Consider the following 26,146-nt stretch of genomic DNA (forward strand, 5'->3'; position numbering starts at 1 on the left):
TGCCATCTATGACCTGGGAGATGGTGGGACCTACCACCGTCCAGGATCTAGGGCAGTGCCCGGCCCACAGAAAGTTCCCATCCACTGCACCTATAATTACACTTCGTAAACACTAATCCGTGACCATGGACACGCATACCACACCCGTCCATATCACACCAGACAGACGGCCTCTGATACAGACCCTCCCGAGGAAGCCGATGGAGTCTGAAGAGCACCAGTGGCCAACAGTTCCCAGCGGAGCACCAGGGCCCATGGCACCACTCAGCAGTTGCCCAGGGTCCCCAGATACAACGGTGGACAGCAAGGACTCCCCAAACCCTTGAGGACGTGCTGAAGGCAGCAAAAATCTACAACTGTTCCCGGAAGGGCTTGGCACAGCTATAGAGAGTTGTACACACAAGAAACTAGCCACAAACCGGAAACGTTAAACCACAGCTCCGTGACACTTCCTCACCAGGAGGCGGAGCCCTGAGCCAAGGCAGACCTGGAGGGCTCCACAGAAGAGGCCTGTGCCAGGGGCCCTGCGCCCTTCTACACGGCAATGGGGACTCAAATCACAGGGACGAGGCCCCTCACGAAGAGCTCTGCCCTGGGGCAGGTCCTCTGCATCCCCTCGCAGGCTTCTCCCTCCGTCAAGGACAGAGACTGCTCCAGCCAGCTGGTTAGTTTCCACCCAAAGCCAGCCGCTTGCCATTGTTCCCAGCTTCTGAGTTCTTACATGGTAATTCTGCACATTCCAAACAGTCTTTCAAATACCGTCTCGTCTAAGAATGAGTGCACTTTCCTAAAAAGACAAATATCAAGCACTTAAAACACACACACCAAGCTACAGGCTATACTTGAATTCCAGGCATAAATCTGAATTTCTCTAACTGTTGTCCAAATTAGGTCAAAGAGTTACCAGAATAATCAGAAAATGTTTTGAGAGGGGTTTAAATTCACTTGGTTGTAATTTTTTTTATTTGCTCAATTCATCCCATTCTCGCTGCTGAGCTTTCTCCTTAGGAAGTTGGAATGGGTGCTGGAGGAAGTGAACTTGGTCCTCAGCAAACTGGGAATGCCAACAGCGCTGGCCACTCCCAGACTCGGGCTGGTGGCCAGGACGGTGGCCCTGGCGGGCCAGGCCCCACTGACAGCCCTAGGCAGGCCTGTCCTGGAAGGAGCAGGGCCCATTCCACACTGTGAAGAGTGACCCAAGAGATCAGAGATTAGACTTGGGTCTAGATTTTTCTCAGGATAAAGTGTGATTTTGAAAAGACGCTGAGTAAATAAGCCACATGTCAAGGATAAAGATATTCATCATGAAAGTAAACAAATTTCTCTCTGAGTTCTAACTTACCACAAAAAGGAATCAACATACTTCTTCCCTGCTGGCTTTTACCAAGCATTTCCACAGTACAATCGGTTTGGTGCTCATGACCACCTGGAGGGACAGAAGAACCTGCCCTGTGACTAGATGGCCTGCAGGCCAAGGAAGACAGGGTAATCCCAGGTGACCACCCATTTCCTGTCAGGGACACAGCCCCTCAGGAGGGCTGGACAGAGAAAAGGGAACAGGACTCCCCAGGAAACCGCAGAGATCCAGGTGTGAGAACTGAACTTCTCTTAGCCTTTTCATCAGTTGTCAACCAAGAACAGGGTCAGACAGGCAAGCTTTTGTGCAGAAGCCTACCAGGGGACCTTAGGGCACCAGGTGGATGGTGCCAGGCTCCCTACCCCCACAAAATGGAAAGAAACAAAGAAATGGCGACATAGAAGAATGGAATTGAGCTGGCTTTTAAAGAAAGACTAATCGCACTGGCAAGAAATCTCAAGGACCCATCACTTCCATAGCTGAGCTTCCAGCGGCTTGATTCTAGGAGCTACCATTGGAAACGTTCAATTAGAAGACCCTCTTACTGTGCACACTAAGACCTAATTTACCAGCAGATGGAAGCCATCCAAGCACCCCCATCATTCAGACGTACATACATTCATTATCTACATACATTCATACATCTACACAATTCACACACCCACATTCACACACCCACACACATTCACACACCCACACACATTCACACACCCACATACATTCACACATCTACACACATTCACACACCCACACATTCACACACCCACACACATTCACACACCCACACACATTCACACACCCACACACATTCACACACCCACATACATTCACACATCTACATACACGTGCATGCATGCATGCACCTAGCAAATATTGTACATTGTCTGTGTGCCCAAGGAAGGGTGGGGTCTGACTTCCTGGCACTGGCCAGGTAACTCCTGCAGGTGTCACCTCAACACCTTTTAGCTGAGTGCCAAACTCCATTCCAGTCTGCAGGAATTCTCTGCAAGCTCCATTCTTCAGAACCCCAGTTTTCCCCACTGAATGAGAAGCATGAGGCCCTGCTGGCCTCCTGGAGGAGGAGGGTCCTTATTCATGCCCCAGTGGGCTGGCCACTGCGAGCCCGTGCGCTTTCCTAAAAAGACAAATATCAAGTACTGGTCACCTCGTGGCCGGGACTGCCGGGTCACCGTGTGTTCAGAGGCTGAGTTTCTACACAGAAGGTTTCTAAGGGAAGATGACTCAAGTCATTTCAACTTAAAGACACAGCAAATCTTCCAAGTTGCTCGAAAAGGGAAAAAGTACAAACTGTCCACACACAACAGTATAATTACAAGGCCAGCAATGATGGGTTTGGTTCTTACGACCCAAGGCTGGCTCGGATCTCATCCCAGCACTTTGTTAATTGCACATTATCATGTGTCAGGGCTTCATAGACAAGAGCAGCGAGTGGACCTGACTTATCTCCCCGCCCCCCAAAATGATGTCCTTACACAAAACACAACAGGCAACTCTGAGAGAGAGTCAACTGCACGCAGGTGGCCCTTGAGGTCCCAGAGCCTACTCTCTGGATGAGCTCAGGATGTCACCAGCCTTTCAGGAGCCTGATGACTCCCACGGCAGCAGGTAAGGACCCAGAGTCCTGGAGGCTGCCCCATCAGCTCTGTCTCGGGCTGCACTGGAGCAGCTGTGTGGACCCTGTGGCCTGTCCACATCCGTATGTGTAAAAATGAATGGATGACGGAAACAGAAAAGCGCCGTTGGTGACACCTTGGAGAGGGAAATTCTGAGCAAGCCGAAAGAACTCGCTGTGGCCTCAATGGGATGCTCATTAGCTGCCCCCCGATGTATTCAACTGGAAAGGAGAAAGAGCAGAGCTGGCAACATGCAGAAAAACAGGAAATTTCATGGTGAGACACAGTGAAGCAGGCGATAGAGAAAAGGAAGACTTTAAAATGAGATAGAATGAGGCGATAGAGAAAAAGAGGCCTTTAAAAATGAGAATCCAGAATAAGCTGAAATAGTCCGGGGGCTAAAAAACCTAGACATTTATAACCTAATCAGGAATATTATAATGCTTTCAAGTCTCCTCGGAACTGGACCACTCCCTTGTTCCAAACAAAGATGTGCTACTTGCATTCAGCATTTGTATAATTTCTTACATGCACTAACAGGGAACTATCTGACATTTCTGAAATCATTAAACCATCTACTTAATGGAAAGGAGTAAGACGACCTGTTGACGGATACGACAGATGTGAGCGTTACTGTGAGCAGCACGTGCAGACTTAAGTGGCTCTTAGTTCAAACCAAAATATGCACAGACCTCCAAAAAACCCCAGATACAGAGTAAATTATACACTGGTAGGCTAGCTTTTGGCAAGGAAAATACAGTGTCCGTTCCTCATTCAGAAACATGGCAAATATGTGCATTAATATTAAATATATCCTAATTAGTTACAAATCTCTGAAAATACTTACAACTCAAAGGACCGGGTTTATCTGATAGACACACAACCTTCACTTTTCTCATTAATTTGGAGCTGAAGGAAATGCAAGATTCAGAATTTAAAACCAGTAAAAAGGTTGGGGCTTAGTATGTTTTTTGGTGTTTTTTGAGACAGGGTCTTGCTCCGGTTGCCCAGGCTGGAATGCAGTGGTGTGATCACGGCTCACTGCAGCCTCGACTTCCTGGGCTCAGGTGATCCTCCCATCTCACACTCCTGAGTAGCTGGAATCATAGGTGCATGCCACCATGCCTGGCTAATTTTTATACTTTTAGTAGAGTAGGGGTTTGAGAAGGGGTTTTGCCATGTTGCCCAGACTGGTCTTGAACTTCTGAGCTCAAGCAATCCATTCACCTTGGTCTCCCAAAGTGTTGGGATTACAGGTGTGAGCCACTGTGCTCGGTCGGCTTAGTGTGTTTTTTGTTTACACATTCTAAGTTTTCAGTGCTGTTGTGTTTGGAATAATGAGGAATACTCAATTCACATGAAAGCAACAGTTCATCTTGGTGATTGTGTTTAGGACTATGAGAGCCGATTCTGCCGGCATCCTCCCTAGAGCTCTCCATCCCCCGATGTGGATCTCCGGATTATCGGGTAGACACTGTCGTCATCCCCATGTTACAGACACAAAGCCTGGGTGGCTGAGGCCGGCACAGCTGCTGAGTGAGAGTCCAGTTCTGGACCCCGAAGACAGGTTGCCCTTCATCCTTCCAAGACGTGGCCTCTCTCCTCAGGATGTGTGTCCCACATTCAGAGTCCCTGATGGCTCCACGTCCCATAATTAACCTCTCAACAGGGAAGATGTCCACCTGGAAGTTACACAGAGCTTCGAAATTTCCTGGAACTTGTGTTTCGAGTGGGGGAAAAGCCACTACAATGCTGCCATACTCAACAAGACCAATACAAGTCTCAGCAGACATCACAACCTGGCGCCAGATTCCAACAAACTCTGCACAGTAATGACAAAAAAGCACAGTTTCAAAAAAAATCAACAAAGAAACCCAGCTCTCTCTGTGAAACCTTCCATTTACTTGGCCACTTTCCCACGGACATTCAATTAAAAACAACTGTGGGAAAAGCGAATCTAGCCATTAGACACTGCAGAAGCTGGCTGGGCAATAAAATCTGCCTCTCTCCTAACAGCCCAGAGAAGCCTTTTAGCATTTACATTCAACAGAAGCCAAAAGCCAGGAGCCCCAAGAGGGGGCCCACATCATCGTTCCAATCCAATCCGAGTTCAATAAATGTCTCTGATAGGACACCAAAACACAGGCAGCAAAAGAAAAAAATAGCCAAACAGGATACCAGCAAAATAAAAATCTTCTGAGCTTCAAAAGACACCATCCAGAAAGGCAACCTACAGAATGGAAAAGAATATTTGCAAACCATATATCTGATCAAGGAGCTGTATCTAGAATATAAAGGGCCAGACAACTCAAACAATAAAAAGGCAAATAATCTAATTTTAAAATGAGCAAAGGATTTAAACAGACATTTCTCCAAAGATGCACAATGGCCCATGAGCATGTGAAAAGATGACTGTCATCACTAGTTGTTAACCTCAGGAAAATGTAAATCAAAATCACAATAAGATGTCACTTTCTATCCACAAGGATGGCCAGGATCAAAAAGATACAAGACCACCCTGACTGTCAAACCCAGCATCGGAACCTCTCGCAGCCAACCATCTGCACTCACCCCCAATGCACCCCTGCGCTGCTGCTGTGGGTGCCCCAGGCGATGCCCTCTGACTCTGGCAGAGCAGGGCAGGCAACTGTAGGGGACAAGAGCAGCAGAGGGGCTCACCTCTGTACCTCCCTAGACCCTTAGACAGGCATCTACCCTGGCCCTCTCGTCCCAAGCTGTCCCTATATTCCTGCAACGGCTTCTTCCCTCCCTAGCGACCTGGCCAGAGAGTTGCCCACGATGAGCGGCAGAGTCAGAGACCAGACCTGCAGGTCTGAGGGCTGAGCACAGGAAGGATAAATGATACCCCACACAGGGTCTACATCCTCATTCCCGGAACCTAGAAATACACCACCTTAGATGCTCAAACGGACTTTACACATGTGATTAAGGATACTGAGATGAGGGATTATCAGATAAATTCCGGGGACAGGAATTATACAAGGTGACAAGGTGTCTTGTCACAGCAGAGCAAGGAAGCAATCAAAGACTGCAAGGGTTATGTCCAAAAGACTCAAGGGCCAACTCCACAGGGCCTCGTGGATCAAGGAGGACAAGGTGAACATCAATGAGAGTAACAGCAGCAAAGGCCTAAAAGGCATGGAGCACACTTAAACCCACAAGCTCACAATTACACACAAAAACAAACGACAAAACTCACCAGTGACCTTCAGATGATGTAAAGCAACGAGCTCATTCCTCTGAAAGATGGTAAATAAAGAAAGCCTTTCCTGTGTGAGCCGAAGAGCTGATGAGGGCACTTCCTCTCTGCAGAAGTCTTTTACCTGATTCAGGAGTGAGTGTCTTGGATTATCACTCTGCAGCCCCCAGGAAGGAAGGAATGAAGCTAGACAGCCACCTTCAGGACCCGCTCATCACCCAGCAGAACGCCCACGCCCCCATGCCACAGTCTTGCCAACTAGCCCCGGTCCGGCGCAGGCTCCAGCTGCAACCGCCAGGTCACCAGAAAGAGAGGGAGGAGGAACTTGCTCAACACGCCACATGGACACAGGCAGTGAGAGCTCTGCCGTGGCCACACAACAGGACAAGCCAAGCTCCCCAACAAATAGACTGGAGAGCAAGAGGGAGGAAACGGCTGTGTCCATCACAAGTGACAGTGGCCCATTAGAACCCACGAACCTTACTTAACACTTATTTGAACAACAGCCACATACAAAAAGAAAAGAGACTGAAAACTTTTTGAGACAATGGGGATTTTAAATGACTGATTATTTGATGGATTCACGTGTTGATGTGTTAAAGCTGTGACAATGGTATTAGGGTCGCATGTTCGGAAGACACCTGCATGACGGTAGAACTGCTTTGGAACAATACAGTGAGGCAGGCCTGGCCCTGCTCAGCCATCGCTGAAGATGGGGACAGCAGCCTAGTCCGCTCCTTATTGTCTTTTCACTTTCGTAAATGTTTGAAATTTTCCGTAATAAAAAATGAAAGATAGCCAGTGAAGGTGCTAGATTTGGACGGGGGTATCACTCTGTTCTGTTTTGCTGTTTATTATTTGTTGCAAACATAAACCTGGGCTCACAATTGTGGAAGGTTACACCCTCCCAGCTCATTCAGAGAGAAATTTCAGAGCCAGGGGACCTCATGGCCACTAAGTTTCCACGATTCCCTGGAAGAGTCACATATAAACACACTTGTGATCATTACCAAACGACAGGACAAGCCCAGTGCACCCCGGCGTCCCCTCCCAGTTTTAAGGACGAATCATGTATGGGCCCCCGCAAGAGATGGGAATGAGCCAGGGCGCCGCTGGTCTCTAAGCCACGAGCCACAGCCATGACTAACTAGGAAACTAGGACAACAGCTACCATTCAACAGCTAATTCAACAACAATACAAGTAACCTTCACGGTAAAAACGAGAACCTCATTTGCCTACCTCGAAAATAACCAAAGCAAAGCAAGCCAGTGAAGCTGGGGGGCCCTGGGAACCCTACTTTCCCAGATGGCCCTCCACGGCGGGGCTCTCTCAGCCCAGCACAGTGCAGAGCTGTCACCGTGACTCAACGGAGGGCAAGCCTCATCCCCAAAGCTGCTCCAGAAAAGAAAAGGCTCAGAAGTCCCAGGTGGATGGCCCTTCCCTAGGCCTGGCCTGGCCCCCACGCTCCTCCCAGCTGTCCTTCTGACCCTGGGCCACTCCCCCTTCTGCTGCTCCTCTTGGTTTGAAGGAGGGGAGGGGCATGGTGACATCTCTTTTTAATTAAGGCTTTCTTACAAGTAATCTTTGCAAAGAGCCCTGTCCTGGAGTGATTTTGTGTGAGAGGGAAGAACAGATCAGCGGAGGGGCTTCCAACCATAAACATTCCCAGAGCTGCGAATATGTGCCCCTGGCCACAGGATTACACGTAGGAAGCCAGCACACGCTACGCTATCATTACCATCTCACCCATCTCCCGTGGCTGACGGGGATCGGGGGAAGAAAGGGTGGGGGCCGGCCGGAAGCCCCGTGGGCCGAAGCCACCCCAGGCCCTCAGCCCAGACCACCAGGCCGCGCAGGCTGGCCTCCTGAGGCTGTCCCTGGCAAGCCGCCCCACGCTGGAGCCAGGCTGCCGGCAAAGCGCTGCTCACTGCCGCTTTCTTCACATGTGGTTTGATTGACGCAAATCAAGAGGCAAGCAAATGATTCATAACTGTCCAAGCACAGGGCTCACCCAGAAACGGCAGGAGCCCAGACTTGCTGATTCACCAAGAAACGGCTTTGTGTACCGGAGGCGCTGTTGGTCGGGACGCTATCATGTATGCACACGGAGCTCTGCAAATGTGATGGCAGTGGCGATGTCATGGCCCACGGAGTGACAGCAGACCCTAACCCCACCAACAGGCAGCAATGCAGGGCCGCCACGAGGGGGACACACATGGAAGAACAGCAGCCACCGCCCCTGCCTGCACGGTCTGTGTGTGTGCGGGTGGCACACCTGGGTTCGGTACTGCCACCCTGCGACTCCAGGTCCAGCCTCAGAGTGAGGCTGGGGGCCTCTGCAGTGCCTGGTCCCACTCCCCACCCCTCAGGCTGCCAGGCACACCCATGATGCAAGAAGGCAAGATAGAACGCCAGGACCCCTGCCTTCCAGGAGCTCACAGGGAGGGGAAGACACCCAGGGGAGCCCCAGATAGCTCCTCATGGTGCCACGTGCCACCCTGAAGGTATGGGGCGGAGAAGATGAAGCTCCTCTGTCGCCTGCCTCATTTGGGAAAGCTTCCCAGAGGAGGAGAGGCCTTAAAAGGATGGGCGGGAAGGCACCAGGCGGTGGTGGACAGGCTCCGCCCAAGCAGATGGCCAGCATGCTCTGAGCCAGCGCAGGCCAGGGACCTCTGGGGCTGGGACTGCCCTGGGGCCAGGCAAAGAACCAGTGTTCCTCCACTGCCAGGGAGGACTGCGCAGGGACCTGACTCACGGCAGACACCGACCCCCACGCCAGCAAGTTCACTCTGGTGGCAACGCAGAGAACCTGAAGATGGCAGACAAGTTAGAGCAGCTGCACCAGTCTTACAGAGGCAGGGAGAGGCCCCGAACCAGAGAGCGGGTGCGGACCCTTGGCAAGTATGCCTTGGAAGTGTTGAGGGGAGAAGGCGTCAAGTCGTGGTCCCGCCAACAGAGAGGCCTGTCTAACTGACTCAGCAGCCCCTCTGCCTCCAGCTCCCTGTGTCTGGACCCCAGGCCACAGGACGGGGGCAGGAGTGGGACAGGCACCCGGGTTCTGCATGTATGGCCTGTGCCACCTTCAAAGCAGCCCTGACGGACCTCCCAACTAGGCCAGAGATTGCTCCATTGGTCATCAGTGCTGTTCCTGAAACGGCTTCACCAGTCATGGGGACCTAAGTCCCTCTAGCTGGAGATGAGACACCGATACACCGCAGACACCATCTGCTCTCCAGACACAGGCCACTTCCTGGACATTGCCTGCTGCCTGGACACTGCCCGCTGCCTGGACACTGCCTGCTGCCGGAACACTGCCTGCTGCCTGGACACTACCCGCTGTCTGCTGCCTGGACACTGCTCGCTGCCCAGACAAAGGCCGGCTGCAGAGGCCAGCAGAGCAGCAGAGCCAGGCGAGGCAAGACGGCAGAGGGAGGCCAGGGGGAATGACAACAGGCTCCAGGGTGAAGCCACCACCAAGTGATCAGGTCTGTGTATGAGTTCATTCTTCTTGCAACACTGTCTGTCACCGTGCCACAAAATCCCCCAACCCTGACCCCCTAACACACACCCCTCTAGCCCTTGGGGAACACCATTCGAGAGTCAGCTGTGGAGCCTCCCCTGCTCTGTGCAGCCCCTTTCCACTGCCGCGCCCTCCTGGGCCTGCATTTGCCCCTGCTGGTGGCACCTGGGACTCTGCACGGCACTAATATTTTGCAATTCTCTTAACCATTCTTGAAAGCAGGGACGGGGTCCTGCTCACCTTGGTGTACCCAGCACCTGGTATAGTGGGGTCCCGAGGTTAGCAGAAGGATCAGTAAAAGAAGAAAACATGTATTTGGAGGACAACCATGCTCCCAGAGCCGAGCCCGGTGAGCTCAGCTTCTGAAGCTCCCCAGAAATAGCAGATGCCCTCTTGTTCCCGGTCTGTCCAGTAAGGCCTTTCCAAAGGCACAAGGGTGAGAGGTGGGGAGAGGAGGAGCACCAAGCTCATTACCAGAAGGGAAGCTGGGGAAACGACAGGGAAGCCCAGAAGTGCAGACCCAGGTGGACAGGCCCTGGGCCACCACCCTGGGAGTACGGGCCGGTCAGCAGGAAGGAACATGTTTATGGTCTCTGCGCTGTTGGTGCCAGTCACGCCATGGTGGCCCATCGCTGATCATCACACGTTCTGTACTCCGGAGCAGGAACCAGGGTCTCAGGGCACTTCCACAAGCTCACCGGACATGTGCCCACTCTCACCGCACGCATCCCCGGAACCAGTGAGGCCAGTTCTAGCTGCCTAAAAGGGCCACACAGCCGCCCAGCCTGGTGTAGCCACAAGGACCCTGGCTTGATAATGTCTGCTTTGGAAAGACACTTCCAGAACGCCCAACAGCGCTTAGCAAACTCACACAGAAAACACCTGCGTTCCACAGCAACTCCACCCGGGCCGGGACCCAGGCCTGAAGCAGTTCCTACTACTCAGGTTCTCAGATCTGCCGGAAACAAATAACTGAGAATACTCTCCGCTCAGCAGGCCCCAGTCATACGCCCCAGTCACACACCCCAGCCACACACTCCAGCCACACACGCCAGCCACACACTCGGCTCCCCGTCTCTCCTGAGCAGGCCAGCCACACACCCCAGCCACACACCCCAGCCACACACCCTAGCAACACACTCCAGCCACACGCTCCAGCTACACACTCCAGCCGCACACTCGGCTCCCCGCTGGTGGAGGCCACCTGGAGGCTCAGGGTGTCTTGAGAAATGAACAGGTGCTCACCATTGGCTGGAAAGGGTTGAGTTTTCAAATTATCCCACCATTAGAGAAAAAAAGAAAAAAAAAAAAACAGACTGGTAACAAAGCATCAAGCCAAGTGGGGGTGACTTCACCCTGAGGACCCTCCAGTGGCAGTCTTCCAAGAAGAGGTGCCCACCAACCAGTATTTTCTACAAGGCCACAGAAAGCATTTGTTTAAAAAAAAAATTGACAATCTAATTGGTAAAGAAAAGGATAATTTTTAAAATGTAAAAACATATTTTGGGCCAGGACAAGGGCTCACGCCTATAATCTCAGCATTCTGGGAGGCTGAGGCAGGCAGATTGCTTGAGCCCAGGAGTTCGAGACCAGCTTGGCCAACATGGCAAGACACCATCTCTACTAAAAGACAAAAATTAGCCGGGCATGGTGATGAGCAGCTGTAGTCCCAGCTACTCAGAAGGCCGCAGCAGGATCGCCTGAGCCCAGGAGACAGAGGCTGCAGTGAGGCGAGATCATGCCACTGTACTCCAGCCTGGGTGACAGAGGGAGACTGTCTCAATAAAAACAAAAAACATGTTTTGTACCACATGTCAGTCAAAATAAGTGGCCGAAGGCTGTGGTTTGCTTTAATTCACCTTCTAAGGTGGCTCTGGACCTTCCTTCAGGAAACGGCTTTCCTGCCCATCAGTGTGGCTCTCTTCCTCTTTAAACATGAGGACCATTGGGGCCGGGGCCGGGAAGACCACACTCCTGAAGCCAGGTGCAGTAGTGTGGACATGTAGTCCCAGCTACTCAGGAGGGCGCCTGGAGCCCAAGAGCTCGAGGCCAGCCTGGGCAATAGTGTCAGACCCTATCTCTTCCAAACAAACAAATAAAAAGACTATGCTGCCGGCAGGACTGAAAAACCAGAAAGAAAGAAAAGTGGGGCTGGTGTGGGGCCACACCCTGCCCCAGGCGGGGAAAGTGGTTGGAGGTAATGGGGCAGCAGGGCCCACAGGCCGGAGGGCTCCCCTCCTGATTCCAGGGCATCAGCAAACTCAAATTTCATAATGGCTTTTGCTTGCAAAAGCAAAGTGCCTGATTTGCTGTTTCTCCCAGGAGACTCTGGGCTGCTAAGAAGGCAAAGCCTGAGGTCTGTGCCTGACCAGGAGATGCTCACGTCTCTGAGCTGAAAACAGTGACTGAACAAATGACTCATTAGAGGGATCAATGAACAAACTGGCACCAGGCACTAAATTCACACTTGATCCCCTCAGCCTTATAATAAACTCATGAGGCAGTTCTACTACATCCATCTTACAGACGAGAAAATCAAGGTTCAAAGAAACTAAGTAATGCTCCCAATATCTAGGCAGAAAAGCTGGGGTTCAGGCCCGTCTCTCTGCCTCTGAAGTCTGTCCTCTCTCCAACGTCCCAGCAGAAAACCTCTCCCTAGAGAGGACACTGTCGGGGTGAGGAGCAGAAGGGCAGGGGTGGGAGCAGCCCAGGGTGGAGTGAGCTGGGACAGCTCCAGCAGCAGCAGAAGCCAGAAATCTCACACAGCCCCCACAGTGCCTCCCACAAATGAAGGTCTCCTGAGAGCAGGGGACCTGGGGACAAGAACCAGCCACACCAGGCCAGGCCCGCAGGGGGCATGGGATGGGGGCGACTGAGTGAGGAGTGTCCCCTACCCTCACCACGAGAGTCCAGGTGGAAACCGCGCCCTCAGGATGAATGGCCAGCTCTCACCGGGCTTCTCCACGCCTTCCCCAGGACCCTTCCCTAATGTTTCCAAAGTGGCCACAAACCATGAGTGGCCTGTCTGACGTTTCCCTCCCCGAATTCTAGGATCAATAACTGTGGTCCACAGAAAGTGCGGATCCCACCTCTCGGGAGCATCTCATCCCTTCCACTCCTGCGGAAGAGGACAGCACCCCCCAACCCCAAAGTGCCTGTGTTTCCTAGCACCCTGGGATTCCAGCTCGTCAGCTAAGAACTGGCCATGCTGATGAAATCTCCTTATGCCACTTGAGACATGTGCTGGTTCTTGTGGCATCAACCCTGAAAAACATGTTGGTCAAAGAAAAAAAAAGGCATCTGGAAATTTCTACCTTATATTCTCTCGTTTTTAACAATGCCAGCAACCCAAGAGTGGGGGCAAAGCTGATGTGCGAGTGCCTCGTACTCCCGAGACGCTGTGTTAAAGAAGGAAAGAAGGCCACAAGCCCTGAAAGCACATTTTGCCCCAAACTCCACTTCACGTTACATGCACGAAGAACATTAGAGGAATACAGAGCTGTTTCTGGGAAGCCAGCTCCACTGTATGAAACATTGAGTCAGCATGACTCAGCCGTGCCGACTGGTCCCTCCGATGGGCGAGCCAGGGGCACAGAAGGCAGGCAGGTGACCCGGGCACTGCACGCCTCCCCACCTGGTCCCAAATGCTGAAGCCTCCAAGCAACTTAAAAAGGGTAAGGAAAACATTGTGGGAGCAGGTGCATTGTGGCCTCTGCCAGGAGGCTCGGGGGCCTCTCTCCCGCGTGAGGAAGACACCAGGCACAACAAAGATGCGACGCAACATCCTGGAACTGTCTGCTGTTAACAGGGGATGGCAAACTCCATCCAAGTCTTGTCCCCATGCACACACGTGTGTAAACCATGTACACCACTCCACAATGTACACACCACTCTACAATGAACACACCACTCTACACACAATGTACACACCACTCTACAATGTACACACCACTCTCCACACAATGTACACACCTCTACAATGTACACACCACTCTCCACACAATGTACACACCACTCTACAATGTACACACCACTCTCCACACAATGTACACACCACTCTACAATGTACACACCACTCTACAATGAACACACCACTCTACACACAATGTACACACCACTCTCAATGTACACACCACTCTCAATGTACATACCACTCTACAATGTACACACCACTCTTAATGTACACACGACTCTCAATGTACACACCACTCTACACACAATGTACACACCACTCTCAATGTACACACCACTCTACAATGAACACACCACTCTACACACAATGTACACACCACTCTCAATGTACACACCCCTCTACAATGAACACACCACTCTACACACAATGTACACACCACTCTCCACACAATGTACACACCACTCTACACACAATGAACACACCACTCTACAATGAACACACCACTCTACACACAATGTACACACCACTCTGCAAACAATGTACACACCACTCTACAATGAACACACCACTCTACACACCATGTACATGCCACTCTACAATTTACCCACCACTCTACACACAATGTATACACCACTCTACAATGAACACACCACTCTACACACCACTCTACAATGTACACACCACTCTACAATGTACACACCATGCTACAATGAACACACCACTCTACACTGAACACACCACTCTACACACAATGTACACACCACTCTACAATGTACACACCACTCTCCACACAATGTACACACCACTCTACACACAATGTACACACCACTCTACAATGTACACACCACTCTGCAAACAATGTACACACCACTCTGCAATGTACACACTACTCTACACGCAGTGTACACCCCACTCTACAATGAACACACCACTCTACACACAATGTACACGCCACTCTACAATTTACCCACCACTCTACACACAATATATACACCACTCTACAATGTACACACCACTCTCAATGTACACACCACTCTACAATGAACACACCACTCTACACACAATGTACACACCACTCTCAATGTACATACCACTCTACAATGAACACACCACACTACACACAATGTACACACCACTCTGCAAACAATGTACACACCACTCTACAATGAACACACCACTCTACACGCAGTGTACACACCACTCTACAATGAACACACCACTCTACACACCATGTACATGCCACTCTACAATTTACCCACCACTCTACACACAATGTATACACCACTCTACAATGAACACCCCACTCTACACACCACTCTACAATGTACACACCATGCTACAATGAACACACCACTCTACACTGAACACACCACTCTACACACAATGTACACACCACTCTACAATGTACACACCTCTCTACACAATGTACACACCACTCTACAATGTACACACCACTCTACACACAATGTACACACCACTCTACAATGTACACACCACTCTACACACAATGTACACACCACTCTACAATGTACACACCACTCTCCACACAATGTACACACCACTCTACAATGCACACACCACTCTCCACACAATGTACACACCACTCTACAATGTACACACCACTCTACAATGTACACAGCACTCTCAATGTACATACCACTCTCAATGTACACACCACTCTACACACAATGAACATACCACTCTACAATGTACACACCACTCTCAATGTACACACCACTCTCAATGTACACACCACTCTACACACAATGAACACACCACTCTACAATGTACACACCACTCTGCAAACAATGTACACACCACTCGACAATGTACACACCACTCTACAAACAATGTACACCCCACTCTACAATGTACACACCACTCTACAATGTACACACCACTCTGCAAACAATGTACACACCACTCTACAATGAACACAGCACTCTACACACAATGTACACACCACTCTACAATGTACACACCCCTCTACACACAATGTACACACCACTCTACACACAATGTACACACCACTCTACAATGTACATACCACTCTACAATGTACACACCACTCTCCATGTACATACCACTCTACAATGAACACACCACTCTACACACAATGTACACACCACTCTGCAAACAATGTACACACCACTCTACAATGTACACACCACTCTCAATGTACGTACCACTCTACAATGTACATACCACTCTACACACAATGTACACACCACTCTACAAACAATGTACACACCACTCCACAAACAAAACATGTGATGTTCCAGGATTCGCTCGCCCACAGTCAGCCACGCATGCAGGAGCAATGCTGAGGCTGAGGGTGCAGAGGGAGCTTGACAGTCAGTGGAAGAATGCGCTCTACAAGAGGACACCACGGGCCTGGCCCGCAGAGGACTATGAGGGCAGGGGCTGGCGAGTCAAGCTGGCTGGAAAGGCCTCTCTGAGGAACTGAGGCTTAAGCTAAAAAAACTCTGCATGACGCTGGGTCTCTGAGATCCGGAGGAAGGGGCTCCCGGCAGCAGAAGTGCCCAGGGTGCGGGCCTGAGGTACAGGAGCTGCGGGGCTCCTCAAACAGCAGAAAGCCTGGTCTCATGGCTACCGCCCCCCATGAGCAGGATCAGTGCCGACGAGGCTGCAGCGAGTGTCGGGCTGGCCACCGCGAGGGGCCTGGGACGCCACTGCCGGCAGAGGCTAGAAGGGGCCTGACCACACCTGGGCGTTTCCACCATAAGAACACAAAAGCCCTGCGAGCAGAGAAGAGAGCACTGCAGTACAGAAATCAGGAAGGCAGAGTTGTAAGCACTGATTGCATTTGTTTTAATGTGACTTATTTAGTCGTAAGTTTAGCTAATTTCGTTTTCATAACGGCTGTGTTTGGCAACCCACTTCCGCGAGCGGTAACAGCAGTGCCGGCCACCACGGGCGGTCATGGAATTGGAGAGGATCAGGCGGCCTTGATGGCGTTTTGGTGGAAGCACTGTCACAAAGGGATGATGGGCAGGCTGTCGGGAGTTAGGAGAAGAAAAGCAAAATACATTTGCTAGCTTCTGGCTTGAATGCCTGGGCTGACTGGAGGGGCCATGTAGTGCCGGGGAGAAGTGGAGAGCAGTTCCAACATTGCTGGGGGACAGTAGTGCTGCCTCGGGATCTACAGCGGTGAGGCCCCGAAGGCGCCAAGGGCGTCGGCGCAGGGGCCCCCAGCCAGTCACAGTTCCCGCTTCTGCACCCCAGGGCCTCTGAAAACTGTGAAGTCCATGCTGCGGTCTCCACGCCCAGTGGCTTTCCACGTCTCTCCACATGACACTCACCTGCTGCCCATCACAGGCCGCAGACACACTGAGAGGAGCCCAAGTGGTGTCTGAAGCAGGACTCTCCACCAGGACAGTGCCGGTCCTGAGCCCAGCTACAGGGAGCCGACCACAGCGGAGCCGAGGACACCGATGGCAGGACTGGCTGCGCTTCTGATGAATGTGGTTTGGGATGCTGGGTGAGGGACAGAGGGAGCGGGCCAGGGAGTGGGCAGAGTGAGCCAACGCATGGGGGCAGCCCTGAGCCACTGTGCTGACCCAGTGATGGCCAACAGCATGCTCCATCACGGGGACCCTCCGCGGGGCCTCGGGGAGCATCGCAGAGCTGCCTCCCTGAGGAATGGGGGCAGGTGCATTGTGGCCCTCGTAGTCAGGGGTGACCCTGAGAGCAGCTTCCACACACGCCAGGTGACATGCATGAAAGCCCATCAGGTGCCCCTGGGCATCCGGTGCCAACAGAGGCAGAGGCAGGTGAAAGGCAAGATGCCCCTGCATGAAGATGGTCCCAGCACACACAGAGCAGGCCACCACAGTAGGGACTGGGTGGGAGGTGGGGCCTCCAGGATCTGCAGGGGGAAAGGCACCAGACGGTGAGCGCCCACGCCCCAGAGCCAGAGGCCCTTCCACTCTCCAGTGTCCTGGAGACCAGTGTCCCGGTTCAAAAGTAAATACACAAGCAGCCCTCCCACAGGAAGCTGAGGAGAGTCTGGGCTGCAGACTGGGGAGACCCAGGATCGGGAAACTTTTGTTTCATTGTGTTTTTTAATGTAAGTAATTAGGGTATATTTAGAGGCTCAGAAAGGAAGCCAGAGACAAGTGACAAAACTTACAAGGAAAATGAGAGGATATTCACAATGAAAGGAGAGATGGGATCAAAAGCATGAAGGAAGCCCAGAGACAAGTCGTCTAAATGCATCCATCAGTCTACCAAGCCATCAAATAAAATACATCCCACCCCACACCTAGACAATCTACAGTCTACCTTCATGGCAACCTGGAAGGCCAGGTTCAAAGTTCAAAGTTCAAAGACTGCAGATGGTACAGAGAAAGCGTTACACAGTGAGAAAACAGGCAGCTGGATGAGCACAGAGCCACGGTGGAGGGGGACAGAGCCACGCTAAGGAGGAACACAGCCATGCTGGGGGTGGGAGGGGCAGATCCCTGCTGGGAGTGGAGAACGCGCCGCGGCTGGGCCCCCAAGTTCGCGGCTGTGCAGCGTGGCCAGAATGCTGAGCCGGTGCTCTTCCCTGGCATCCTGCACTTCCTGGGTAAGGAAGGAGAAGCCTTACAGCAAGGGGTTCCACCGAGGCTGGGGCTTCGCTAGTGTGCGGGGAGGCAGAGGAGCAGTGCCGGCTGCCAGCAAGTGTCTCCGCCGCGGGACCTGTCATCCCAGCTGGTGGGGAGAAAACGAAGCTGGGTAAAAGGGGCTGAGAGAAAGCTGGCCAAAGGTTGGGCTTTTGAAGTACTAGAAACTTCCTCTTCTGGGGACGTGGCAGACAAGTCATCTTACAGGCTCTTGTGCTGTGGAAACCCCAGGTTCTGCATAAGACATACCTTCTGTCACACTGCTGGGCTCACCAGCAGTAAGGAAACCCTCCAACAAGCCAGAAATATATAATTAAGGGAAACAAAAGCAACTCGAGCTGACAGGAGAGTTGAGGGCAGCGGGTGGAGGACTGCATGGGGGTCAGGACCGAGGTGAGCCCAGAGCTGCAGCGTTCAGGATGCAGGGGCTGGAGTCCAGGGCAGCTCCCAGGAAATGCACGTGGCATGCCTATCAGAAGAACGGCCTCCTCACTCCCATCCCTCTATTTCCAAACAGTAAGACCAGCGAGACATACGCTCCCAAGCAAACACAAGCCAACACAGAAAGAAGTGAAAAAAGGCAGCAAACACATCAAAAGACAGTCAAGTTCTTCAGTTACTCATATCATGAGAAATGGTACGATTACTGTTTCTGAAACTTTCAAAGAATCTCTTAATGCTTTATTCACTATCATTTTCCCCATGTATGTTTTGATTAAATAAAAAGTTTATGAAAATACTTGAAAAATTTTAAGTAATGAATCAGAGGAAGCAACAGAATTGTCAAAATTAATCATTTTAGGAAAAGAACAAAGTAGACTTTCAAAAATAATAAGTGTAATTGATGCATTTTAAAAAAAAGAAAACCCTCAATGAATGATTTAAGCAATAAATGCCATGCAAAAATAAAAAGGAGATTCGGTGAGTGAGAAGATCCTGACGAAGAAATCAGCTGAGCAGAGGGAATCAAAATACAAAAATGAAGGAGAGCCCAAATCCTGTATTTTGTATTCTGAAAGTAAAAGTCCAAGGAGAGTTGAAAACCCATAAGAGCCACCTGAGGAGGTGTGACAGCTGACTCTGCAGGACTGGGAAGGAAGGGAAGGAAGGGAAGGAAGGAAGACTATGGAGCAATATTTAAAGGGGCACTAGCTGCGGATTTCCAGGACTGATAAAACACACAAACTCACAGACACAAAGGCAAACATATGCCAAGACAACAGGGTGCTCCACACCCAAACACACCCTGACAAAACTGGGAGCATCAAGGACAAAAGAAGATGTGACGAGCAGCCAGTGAGACACAGACAGACAAGGAAGGAGCGGCTGCTATGCTGAGGTAGGCCGGCCAAGGATGAGAAGAATACACCAAACGTGATGAAAGGAGAAAAAGAAAACTCACCTCCAAGTTTTGCCTAACAGTCACTCAGGCATGTTGGTGAAATAGAGACATTTTCAGATCAGACACACATACACACGCAAGGACTGTATCACCAACAGGTCTACTAAAGCTACTCCTAAGGGGTATGTGTTCATAAAGAAAAGAGAAAGTGACCCCAGCAGGAGAGTGTCTGATGCAAGCAGGAAGGACAAGTGCACAGGGAGTTGGACACTGGCCTGGGCAGGGAATGTCCTGGGGACCTCTCGGACAATACGAGGCATTTGATCACGTCTATACCAGGATGGGGCATGCGTCACACTTCGTGAGCCCACAGTGATCCATCAGCATGAACTGCAGCCGTGCCTGGATTTCCTGTTTTCCCTGTGGTCCTCCTGTTCTGAGACCCCACCCAGGACCCCACTGTCCTTCCTTTATCCTCCTGACTCCTGAGGCTCCTTCGGCTGCGACGGTTTCTCAGACTTGCCTTGTTTTTAATGACCTTGACAGTTTAAAGTACTTGATTGGGTGTTTGCTAGAATGTCCCTTAATCAGAATTTGTTTGATGTCATGACCAGATGGGGTTGTATGTTTTTGGGAGGAAGGTCACAGAGACCAAGTGGCACCTCCTTACATCATCTCAAAGGTGTACTGTTGACACGACCTTTTAAAAACTTGGGATGGAAATGAAAATGCTAAGTGTCAAAACTTGTTGTATGCACCCAATGCCTACTTCAAGGGAACTGTGTAGCTTATAACAGAAGGAAGGCTAAGAACTAATGGGAGCTGCACATCCAACCTCGGGAGAGAGAGAACACTGGGTGCAGCCAGCCACAGAAAGTACCAGGAAGATAAGAGCAGGCATTTAAAACACAGAAAGCTGACTTACAACTAAGGGAATCCACAAAGCCAGAGTGACTCAAAACGATTAATACAGATTAATCAAGAAGAAGACTAAGTCATGTTGTAAATGAAAACGGGTACACAGAGACAAATCCAGCAAAGATGTAAACACCAGAAGCAAATCTATGACAATAAAATTGAAAACGTAGATTAAGTAGGACTCCTAAAAACTTTCTTTTAAATCCATATGACAGGAATTAAAAGTTCAGGTTATCAGTAACCATTAAAGATGTTAAATCAGTAGTTAAAACATCAAACCACCAAGGAAATATGAACCCCAAATAGTCTGAGGTTAATTTTTACAAACTTTCAAGGAATAATTAATTCTAATCTTAAATAAACTATCCCTGTAAGTTAAAAAAAAAAAAGACCTTAAAAAAGGAAAATTACCGTCCACTCCAATTCAAGAACAGAGATGAAGAATCCTGAAGCGCTAGCAAAGTATGAAAATGACAAGATTTATCACAAACAAGCTGAATCCACTGGAAGAGATAAGGGAAGTTTAACAGAAAATTAGAACAGAAAACTATACGATCATCACAACAGACGGAGTAAAAGCATTTGGCTAATGGAACACAGCTATCCATGAACTTAACTTGAAAAAGGGAATCTAAAATAACCTATGTCAAACATCATACTTAAATTGGGAAAAATGTTAAAAATCTTCTCTTTAATGTCAAGGACGACAGAAGGAAGTCCAGTATTTCTGCTCTTACTCAAAACTGAACTGGAATTCCCAGCTAGCACAGTAAGACAAGGAAAATAAACACAGGAATTGGAGAGGAAGACACTAAACTAGCATCGTTACTTTAACAGTCTTTGTCTTAGAAACCCTGAAGAATTTACAGAAAAAAATTTTTAGAAATTATAAGATTTTAATAAGATGATTGGATATAAAAATAAAATATAAAAATCAACTGCAATTCCAAAAACTAGCAAGGGAAAACTTAATTAAAAAAAAAACGTATTGTCTGCAACAGAAAAACAAAACAACTACAATCTACCAAAGAATAAAGAATAAATCTAACTTGACACGTACAAGACCTTTATAGAGAAAATTATAAAAATCTATTGAAAAAAGACAGTAAAGAAGACCTGATGGAGGGAAAGAGAAGCCACACACACAAATATACTGTCAGGATGCCAACCCTGCCTTCAAATTCATCCATAGAGTCAATGCAATTCCAATCAAGTTTCAGGCTAGGCTTTTTAAAGGAACTTGTCTCTAGACAAGTCACAGCTTAGGAGGAGCTGGGACAATTGCAGGGAGGGGGCTGAGACAGGGGAGTGCGGCTGCAGCGCCTGTCAAGGAGACAGTGCCCTGCTGGCCCCAGGACAGGCTCTGGAGCAGCTGAGCACAGGGAGGGTCCAAAACAGATTGAACTTGGAGGATGAGCTGGCCGCACAGCTATCCCAGAGAAAGGGTGTAAAGTGTCAAACATTATGGTTCTCAAAATGAGAAAAGAAAATGAAACTGATCCCCACCCTGCACCCCACACAAAAACCAAAGGCTTAAGTATGAAAGACAAAACGTCAAAGGCCTTAAGAGAAAATATACAAGGTTATCTTTATGGCCTTGAGGTAGGGAAGGTTTTTTGGTGGTTGTTTTGTTTTTAAATGAAATACGAAAAAGCACTAACCACAAAAGAAAAGGTCTGTGTTTTGTCTTAGTCGAGGTGTCATTTAAGAACTGTTTTTGCATATAACTTTTCTTATGTTACAATATGTGTGTGTGTTTCCAGATCAAGGAAGTCGAGTAAAACACTTCTAAGTAACATTTTTTCCTTCTTCACTCACTAAACCTTTACTGAACTCCAACTAAGTGCCCAGCACCAGGCCAATAAAGAATAAAAAGACAGGAGGAGCAGAGGTCTTTTCTTCTGGAAATCCAGGCTGGGGAGAGAGCACACATCACAGGGCAGGAGCAGCAGCCCCTCAGCCACTGTGTTGGGCACGCAGGGCCCCTCCCAGCCACCTGGCTCATCTGATGTGGGAGCCCACGGAGAGCAGAGAGCACCCCCCAAAGTCCCCGCCTGATGGGGCACCAGAGCTCTGCCCGCTGCCTGATCCTGCCCAAACTCTGAGAATGCCCCTGGTTATAACCCTCCGTTTCCCTACTGTACACACTGGTGCACAAATCTGCATAAACCCTCACTTCATAATCATCCTTCAAATTACACCTAACCTTATCCTCTTGATGGTTCACCACTTCCTAAATTTTAAAACAGCATCGTGATCTTTACTCACCATTTTTGAGTTAAGGAAAACAAATGAGAGAATAAAATTAACAAAGTTCTATCAACTACAGAAAAGATCTTATTTTCTAATCCAATTACGGCAAATAAAAAAGGCATCAAGAGTTAATATAAATGTACACTCCATTGAAATGGCTTAATCAAAAGACACAACATTAACCAGGAAAAATTCACTCAAGTCTTGTCATTCAAACTTAAAATATATCAACATTTTTACTAAATTTATTTTTTTTCAAATGTGCACTAACATTTTCCATGTTATCAGACTTTACTCTTACCTAGTTCCCTGTCAGCTGAGCTAATTCCTTAACTATAAAGAAACAGAGCACCCTAAGGCCAGGCTGTGGGGACACCCAGAACCAACGGCACGTGACATGAAGCACCAGCGACATGGGGACACCAGCACCAATGGCGTGAGGATGTCCAGCACCAATGAGTGGCCCATTTTATGTGGCTGAAGGACACCTTCTGTGTGGACTAGGGAGAATATGGTAAAACTGGAGACCCTAGGAGTCTTCCATATCACCCCAAGAGAGTTTTGGAGAGAAAGGGGATTTAGAGTGTCAATCTTTAGAAAAATCAAACAGGCAGGGCAAGCTCCTGAAATGGGAGTAGGCACACACACACACACACACAGGCACGTGCGCACAAGCAGTCACGTACACACATGTACGCACACACAACCACACATGCGCGCACGCATGCATTCAGTTCGCACGCGCATGCACACACACGCACGCACACACTCACATACGCACTCACGTACGCACACACGCGCACGCACTCACACACACACCACACACGCTCCCGTGTTTAGTGTGTTTCTAGGGCACTATGGGGAGGGCCGGGGTTCTATACAGGGCCTGGCCCACCTGAAAGTCCATGTGAAAGGCAGCCTCCAGGGCTCCTATCAAGTGGGTGGCTTCGCTCATTCACTCAGGAATTTTTCGTGGCACAGTAAGGCAAGGGGTGGGGATTTTTCTTTAAAAGCTTTATCCAATCATGACTAATGGAATAAGTGAGCCAGGCCTCAAGAAAACCGAGGACAAAAGGAAAGAGCCGTTCAGAAGGCAGCGCCTGCCTCCACCTGCTGGTGCGTGCCCGGGACAGGGAGGACGGCAGGTTTTACCAAGCACTTTCAAACAGAAATCCAAGTTCCCAACAAAGAAAACCCCAAATACAATAGTCCCTGGGGTCCTTGTTCAGCCCCCTTTTGACTGGGACGCTGCCGTCGAGTGCCAGGGGGTGTTATGACAAAACTGAAAAGCATGGCGGGTAAGAACGTTCCAAGGCATGGCTCGCCTGCCAGGGCTGGCCCGGGCTGGCCAGGGCCAAGTGCACACGGGGATGGGCCTTGCCAGGCCAGCTGCGACACCACAGGCTTGCTGAAAATAGCCGGTGTTTGTTTACATGGCCTGGGCTGAGAGCCTGATCGCCCTCAAAGAGGGGTCCCCTGGGTGGCGGGGGGCCTGAGGGCACACAGGAAGAGCTGCAGTGGGATTTTCAAAGAAACGTCATCATCTAGAGACCCTGGAGCTCTGGAAAGCAGGAAGGCCGCTAGGTCGCCCCTCTGGAACTTTGGTTTTCATGGGTGTCAATGCGCAGCAACCCACGGTAGGGCCCGAAGCCAGCCTGCTGCTCAGGCCTGGAGAATGAAAACAGCTTTAAAAGACAACCTACAATTAACACAGGGACAATTATCTTCCTAATTTAGGTTAATTTCTACTTACAGCCCTAGCTGGCAGGTCGGGGGAAGGGCAATATCTATGTAAGAGCTTCTTATTTGGTTCTTCTAAGTCCACACAGATATCATAAAGAAGATTTCCAGTGTCCACCATCGCCTTCTAGAAAAGGGGCCTAAGCTCAAGAGTCCCAGCTAGCTGGGCCTTCTCCCCGGGAGCCGCCGATTACATTTGCATGAAAATAGAACCTTTGTTTGCAAGAGTTCCCGCTCCAGTGGATCCCTCCTTTGTCTGCAGCACAGCAACTGATGGGGCAGGATGCTGGTGTGTGCACACAGCCCAGCTCAGGACAGCCACGCCAGGGGCTGCGCGCACGGCCCAGCTCGGCCCAGCTCAGCCCAGCTCAGGGCGGCCACACCAGGGGCTGCGCGCACAGCCCAGCTCAGGACGGCCACGCCAGGGGCTGTGCTTGCCCATCGTGGCAAGGCAGGCAAGGGGACGGCCAGGATGGTAGGTGGGGCCCCAAGTGTTCCGGTGTTTTGTCAGTGTGGCTGGGGACTCCCAGCCGGGCAGGTGCTGCAATGCGCTGGCTCCCAGAGCACCTGCAGAAGCAGTCCCAGGGGACCCTGAGGTCACCTTCACCTGGTACGGCAGAAGACAAGATGCCCTCACTCACTGCTCTCTGCGTTCGAGGATAAACCCCTTTCTAGCACTGGCTGTTTGTTAGATGTGTGACAGAAAGACCCTGGAGAGCTTCTGCACTGAGATGGGCAGTGGAGGCTGAGCCCCGCTGTCCATCTGGAGCACAGAGCCAAACAAATCTGAAGGGCTGGCAGTGACCCCACCACTCCAGCGAGAAACCAGTACCCCTGTGGGCATACTTGGCAGGGCCCAGAAAATACAGACCCACCAACCCACATCTAAAATGCATCTCTTTACTTCCAGAAAAGCAAGTCAATATATCCTATCTGGGAACTCGAGCCAAGTAATGGGTCAGGTCAAATAAGGCATGATCCAGTGTCATGAACTAGCAGACTAAGGCGGGAGGCTGGGTCGAGAGGATACTGTTTCTTTTTTGTTTCTTTGTTTGGAAGGGGGGTGATGGAAGTTCATTACCAGAAGCCAAGGAGGCTCTCTTTCACCAGGTCTCTCACGTGGACCTAGACCGTCCTTTTAATACCCAAACAGAAATTACAAGAGACTAAAAGCTGGGTGGAAACAGGTATGCAACAGCACTAAGAGCAAAACCTTGCTCAGGCCTTTCAGTGGGAAAAAGAACATTTCCGATTTGAAGTTATCACTCAATAAATAGCAAGCTCCATTAGATACAGTTTTACTTAAAAAAATAACAGCTGAATGTCCCTATAGACATGAAATGAGACCACCCACCTGGCCTTCAGGTTCAGGTGTGAGGCCAGCGGCCAGCTCCCAGGTAGCCCAGAATCCCTTGGAAATGACTTTCCTTCCCAGGTACCTGCTCCAGCTGGGTCAGTCCTCACAAGGCGTTTCCCAAAGGGCATCCCGTGAGGAATTTGTGTCCATGGGATACAAATTCCCTGAAATAATAAACTGGACAAGTCTCTTCTCGACAGATCCCAGCTGGCTTCTCTACTCGGGAGCTTCCCAGAGCTTGAATGTAGCAGTTGCCTTCTGAA

At 50.1% G+C, this 26,146-nt stretch overlaps 1 protein-coding gene across 49 annotated transcripts in view, besides 6 other annotated features; it reads right to left on the reverse strand.

Annotated features, from left to right (window-relative positions):
- Positions 1-26,146, reverse strand: part of HDAC4 (histone deacetylase 4) — a 353,482-nt gene that overhangs the window by 218,989 nt on the left and 108,347 nt on the right. For 4 of the 49 annotated variants that reach the window (NR_198959.1, NM_001435993.1, NM_001435998.1 and 1 more), the window contains exon 1: positions 7,452-7,625. The exons of 43 other annotated variants lie outside the window; for them this stretch is intronic. The gene's annotated coding sequence lies outside the window, so the exon portion shown is untranslated. Of the gene's footprint in view, positions 1-184; positions 359-6,211; positions 6,472-7,451; positions 7,626-26,146 lie in introns of those variants that run through there. 2 more of the 49 variants (NM_001435991.1, NM_001435992.1) reach the window with 2 other exon arrangements.
- Positions 88-137: an enhancer, noted in NCBI's record as "active region_17385". NCBI's record gives its function as "activates an Ori minimal core promoter by ATAC-STARR-seq in GM12878 lymphoblastoid cells {active_cell/tissue: GM12878}" and the evidence as "EXISTENCE:reporter gene assay evidence [ECO:0000049][PMID:35858748]".
- Positions 5,887-6,664: an enhancer, noted in NCBI's record as "H3K4me1 hESC enhancer chr2:240194739-240195516 (GRCh37/hg19 assembly coordinates)". NCBI's record gives its function as "activates a minimal SCP1, AML or CMV promoter by ChIP-STARR-seq in primed H9 embryonic stem cells {active_cell/tissue: H9 hESC(primed)}" and the evidence as "EXISTENCE:reporter gene assay evidence [ECO:0000049][PMID:30033119]".
- Positions 8,313-8,412: an enhancer, noted in NCBI's record as "active region_17386". NCBI's record gives its function as "activates an Ori minimal core promoter by ATAC-STARR-seq in GM12878 lymphoblastoid cells {active_cell/tissue: GM12878}" and the evidence as "EXISTENCE:reporter gene assay evidence [ECO:0000049][PMID:35858748]".
- Positions 8,561-8,769: a silencer, noted in NCBI's record as "fragment chr2:240197413-240197621 (GRCh37/hg19 assembly coordinates)". NCBI's record gives its function as "represses an EF-1alpha promoter that drives an FKBP-Casp9 reporter gene in an ReSE screen in K562 erythroleukemia cells {active_cell/tissue: K562}" and the evidence as "EXISTENCE:reporter gene assay evidence [ECO:0000049][PMID:32094911]".
- Positions 24,034-24,563: an enhancer, noted in NCBI's record as "OCT4-NANOG-H3K27ac-H3K4me1 hESC enhancer chr2:240212885-240213414 (GRCh37/hg19 assembly coordinates)". NCBI's record gives its function as "activates a minimal SCP1, AML or CMV promoter by ChIP-STARR-seq in primed H9 embryonic stem cells {active_cell/tissue: H9 hESC(primed)}" and the evidence as "EXISTENCE:reporter gene assay evidence [ECO:0000049][PMID:30033119]".
- Positions 24,564-25,095: an enhancer, noted in NCBI's record as "OCT4-NANOG-H3K27ac-H3K4me1 hESC enhancer chr2:240213415-240213946 (GRCh37/hg19 assembly coordinates)". NCBI's record gives its function as "activates a minimal SCP1, AML or CMV promoter by ChIP-STARR-seq in primed H9 embryonic stem cells {active_cell/tissue: H9 hESC(primed)}" and the evidence as "EXISTENCE:reporter gene assay evidence [ECO:0000049][PMID:30033119]".

The sequence above is a fragment of the Homo sapiens genome, chromosome 2 (genome assembly GCF_000001405.40).
Source record: "Homo sapiens chromosome 2, GRCh38.p14 Primary Assembly".
NCBI lineage: Eukaryota > Metazoa > Chordata > Mammalia > Primates > Hominidae > Homo > Homo sapiens.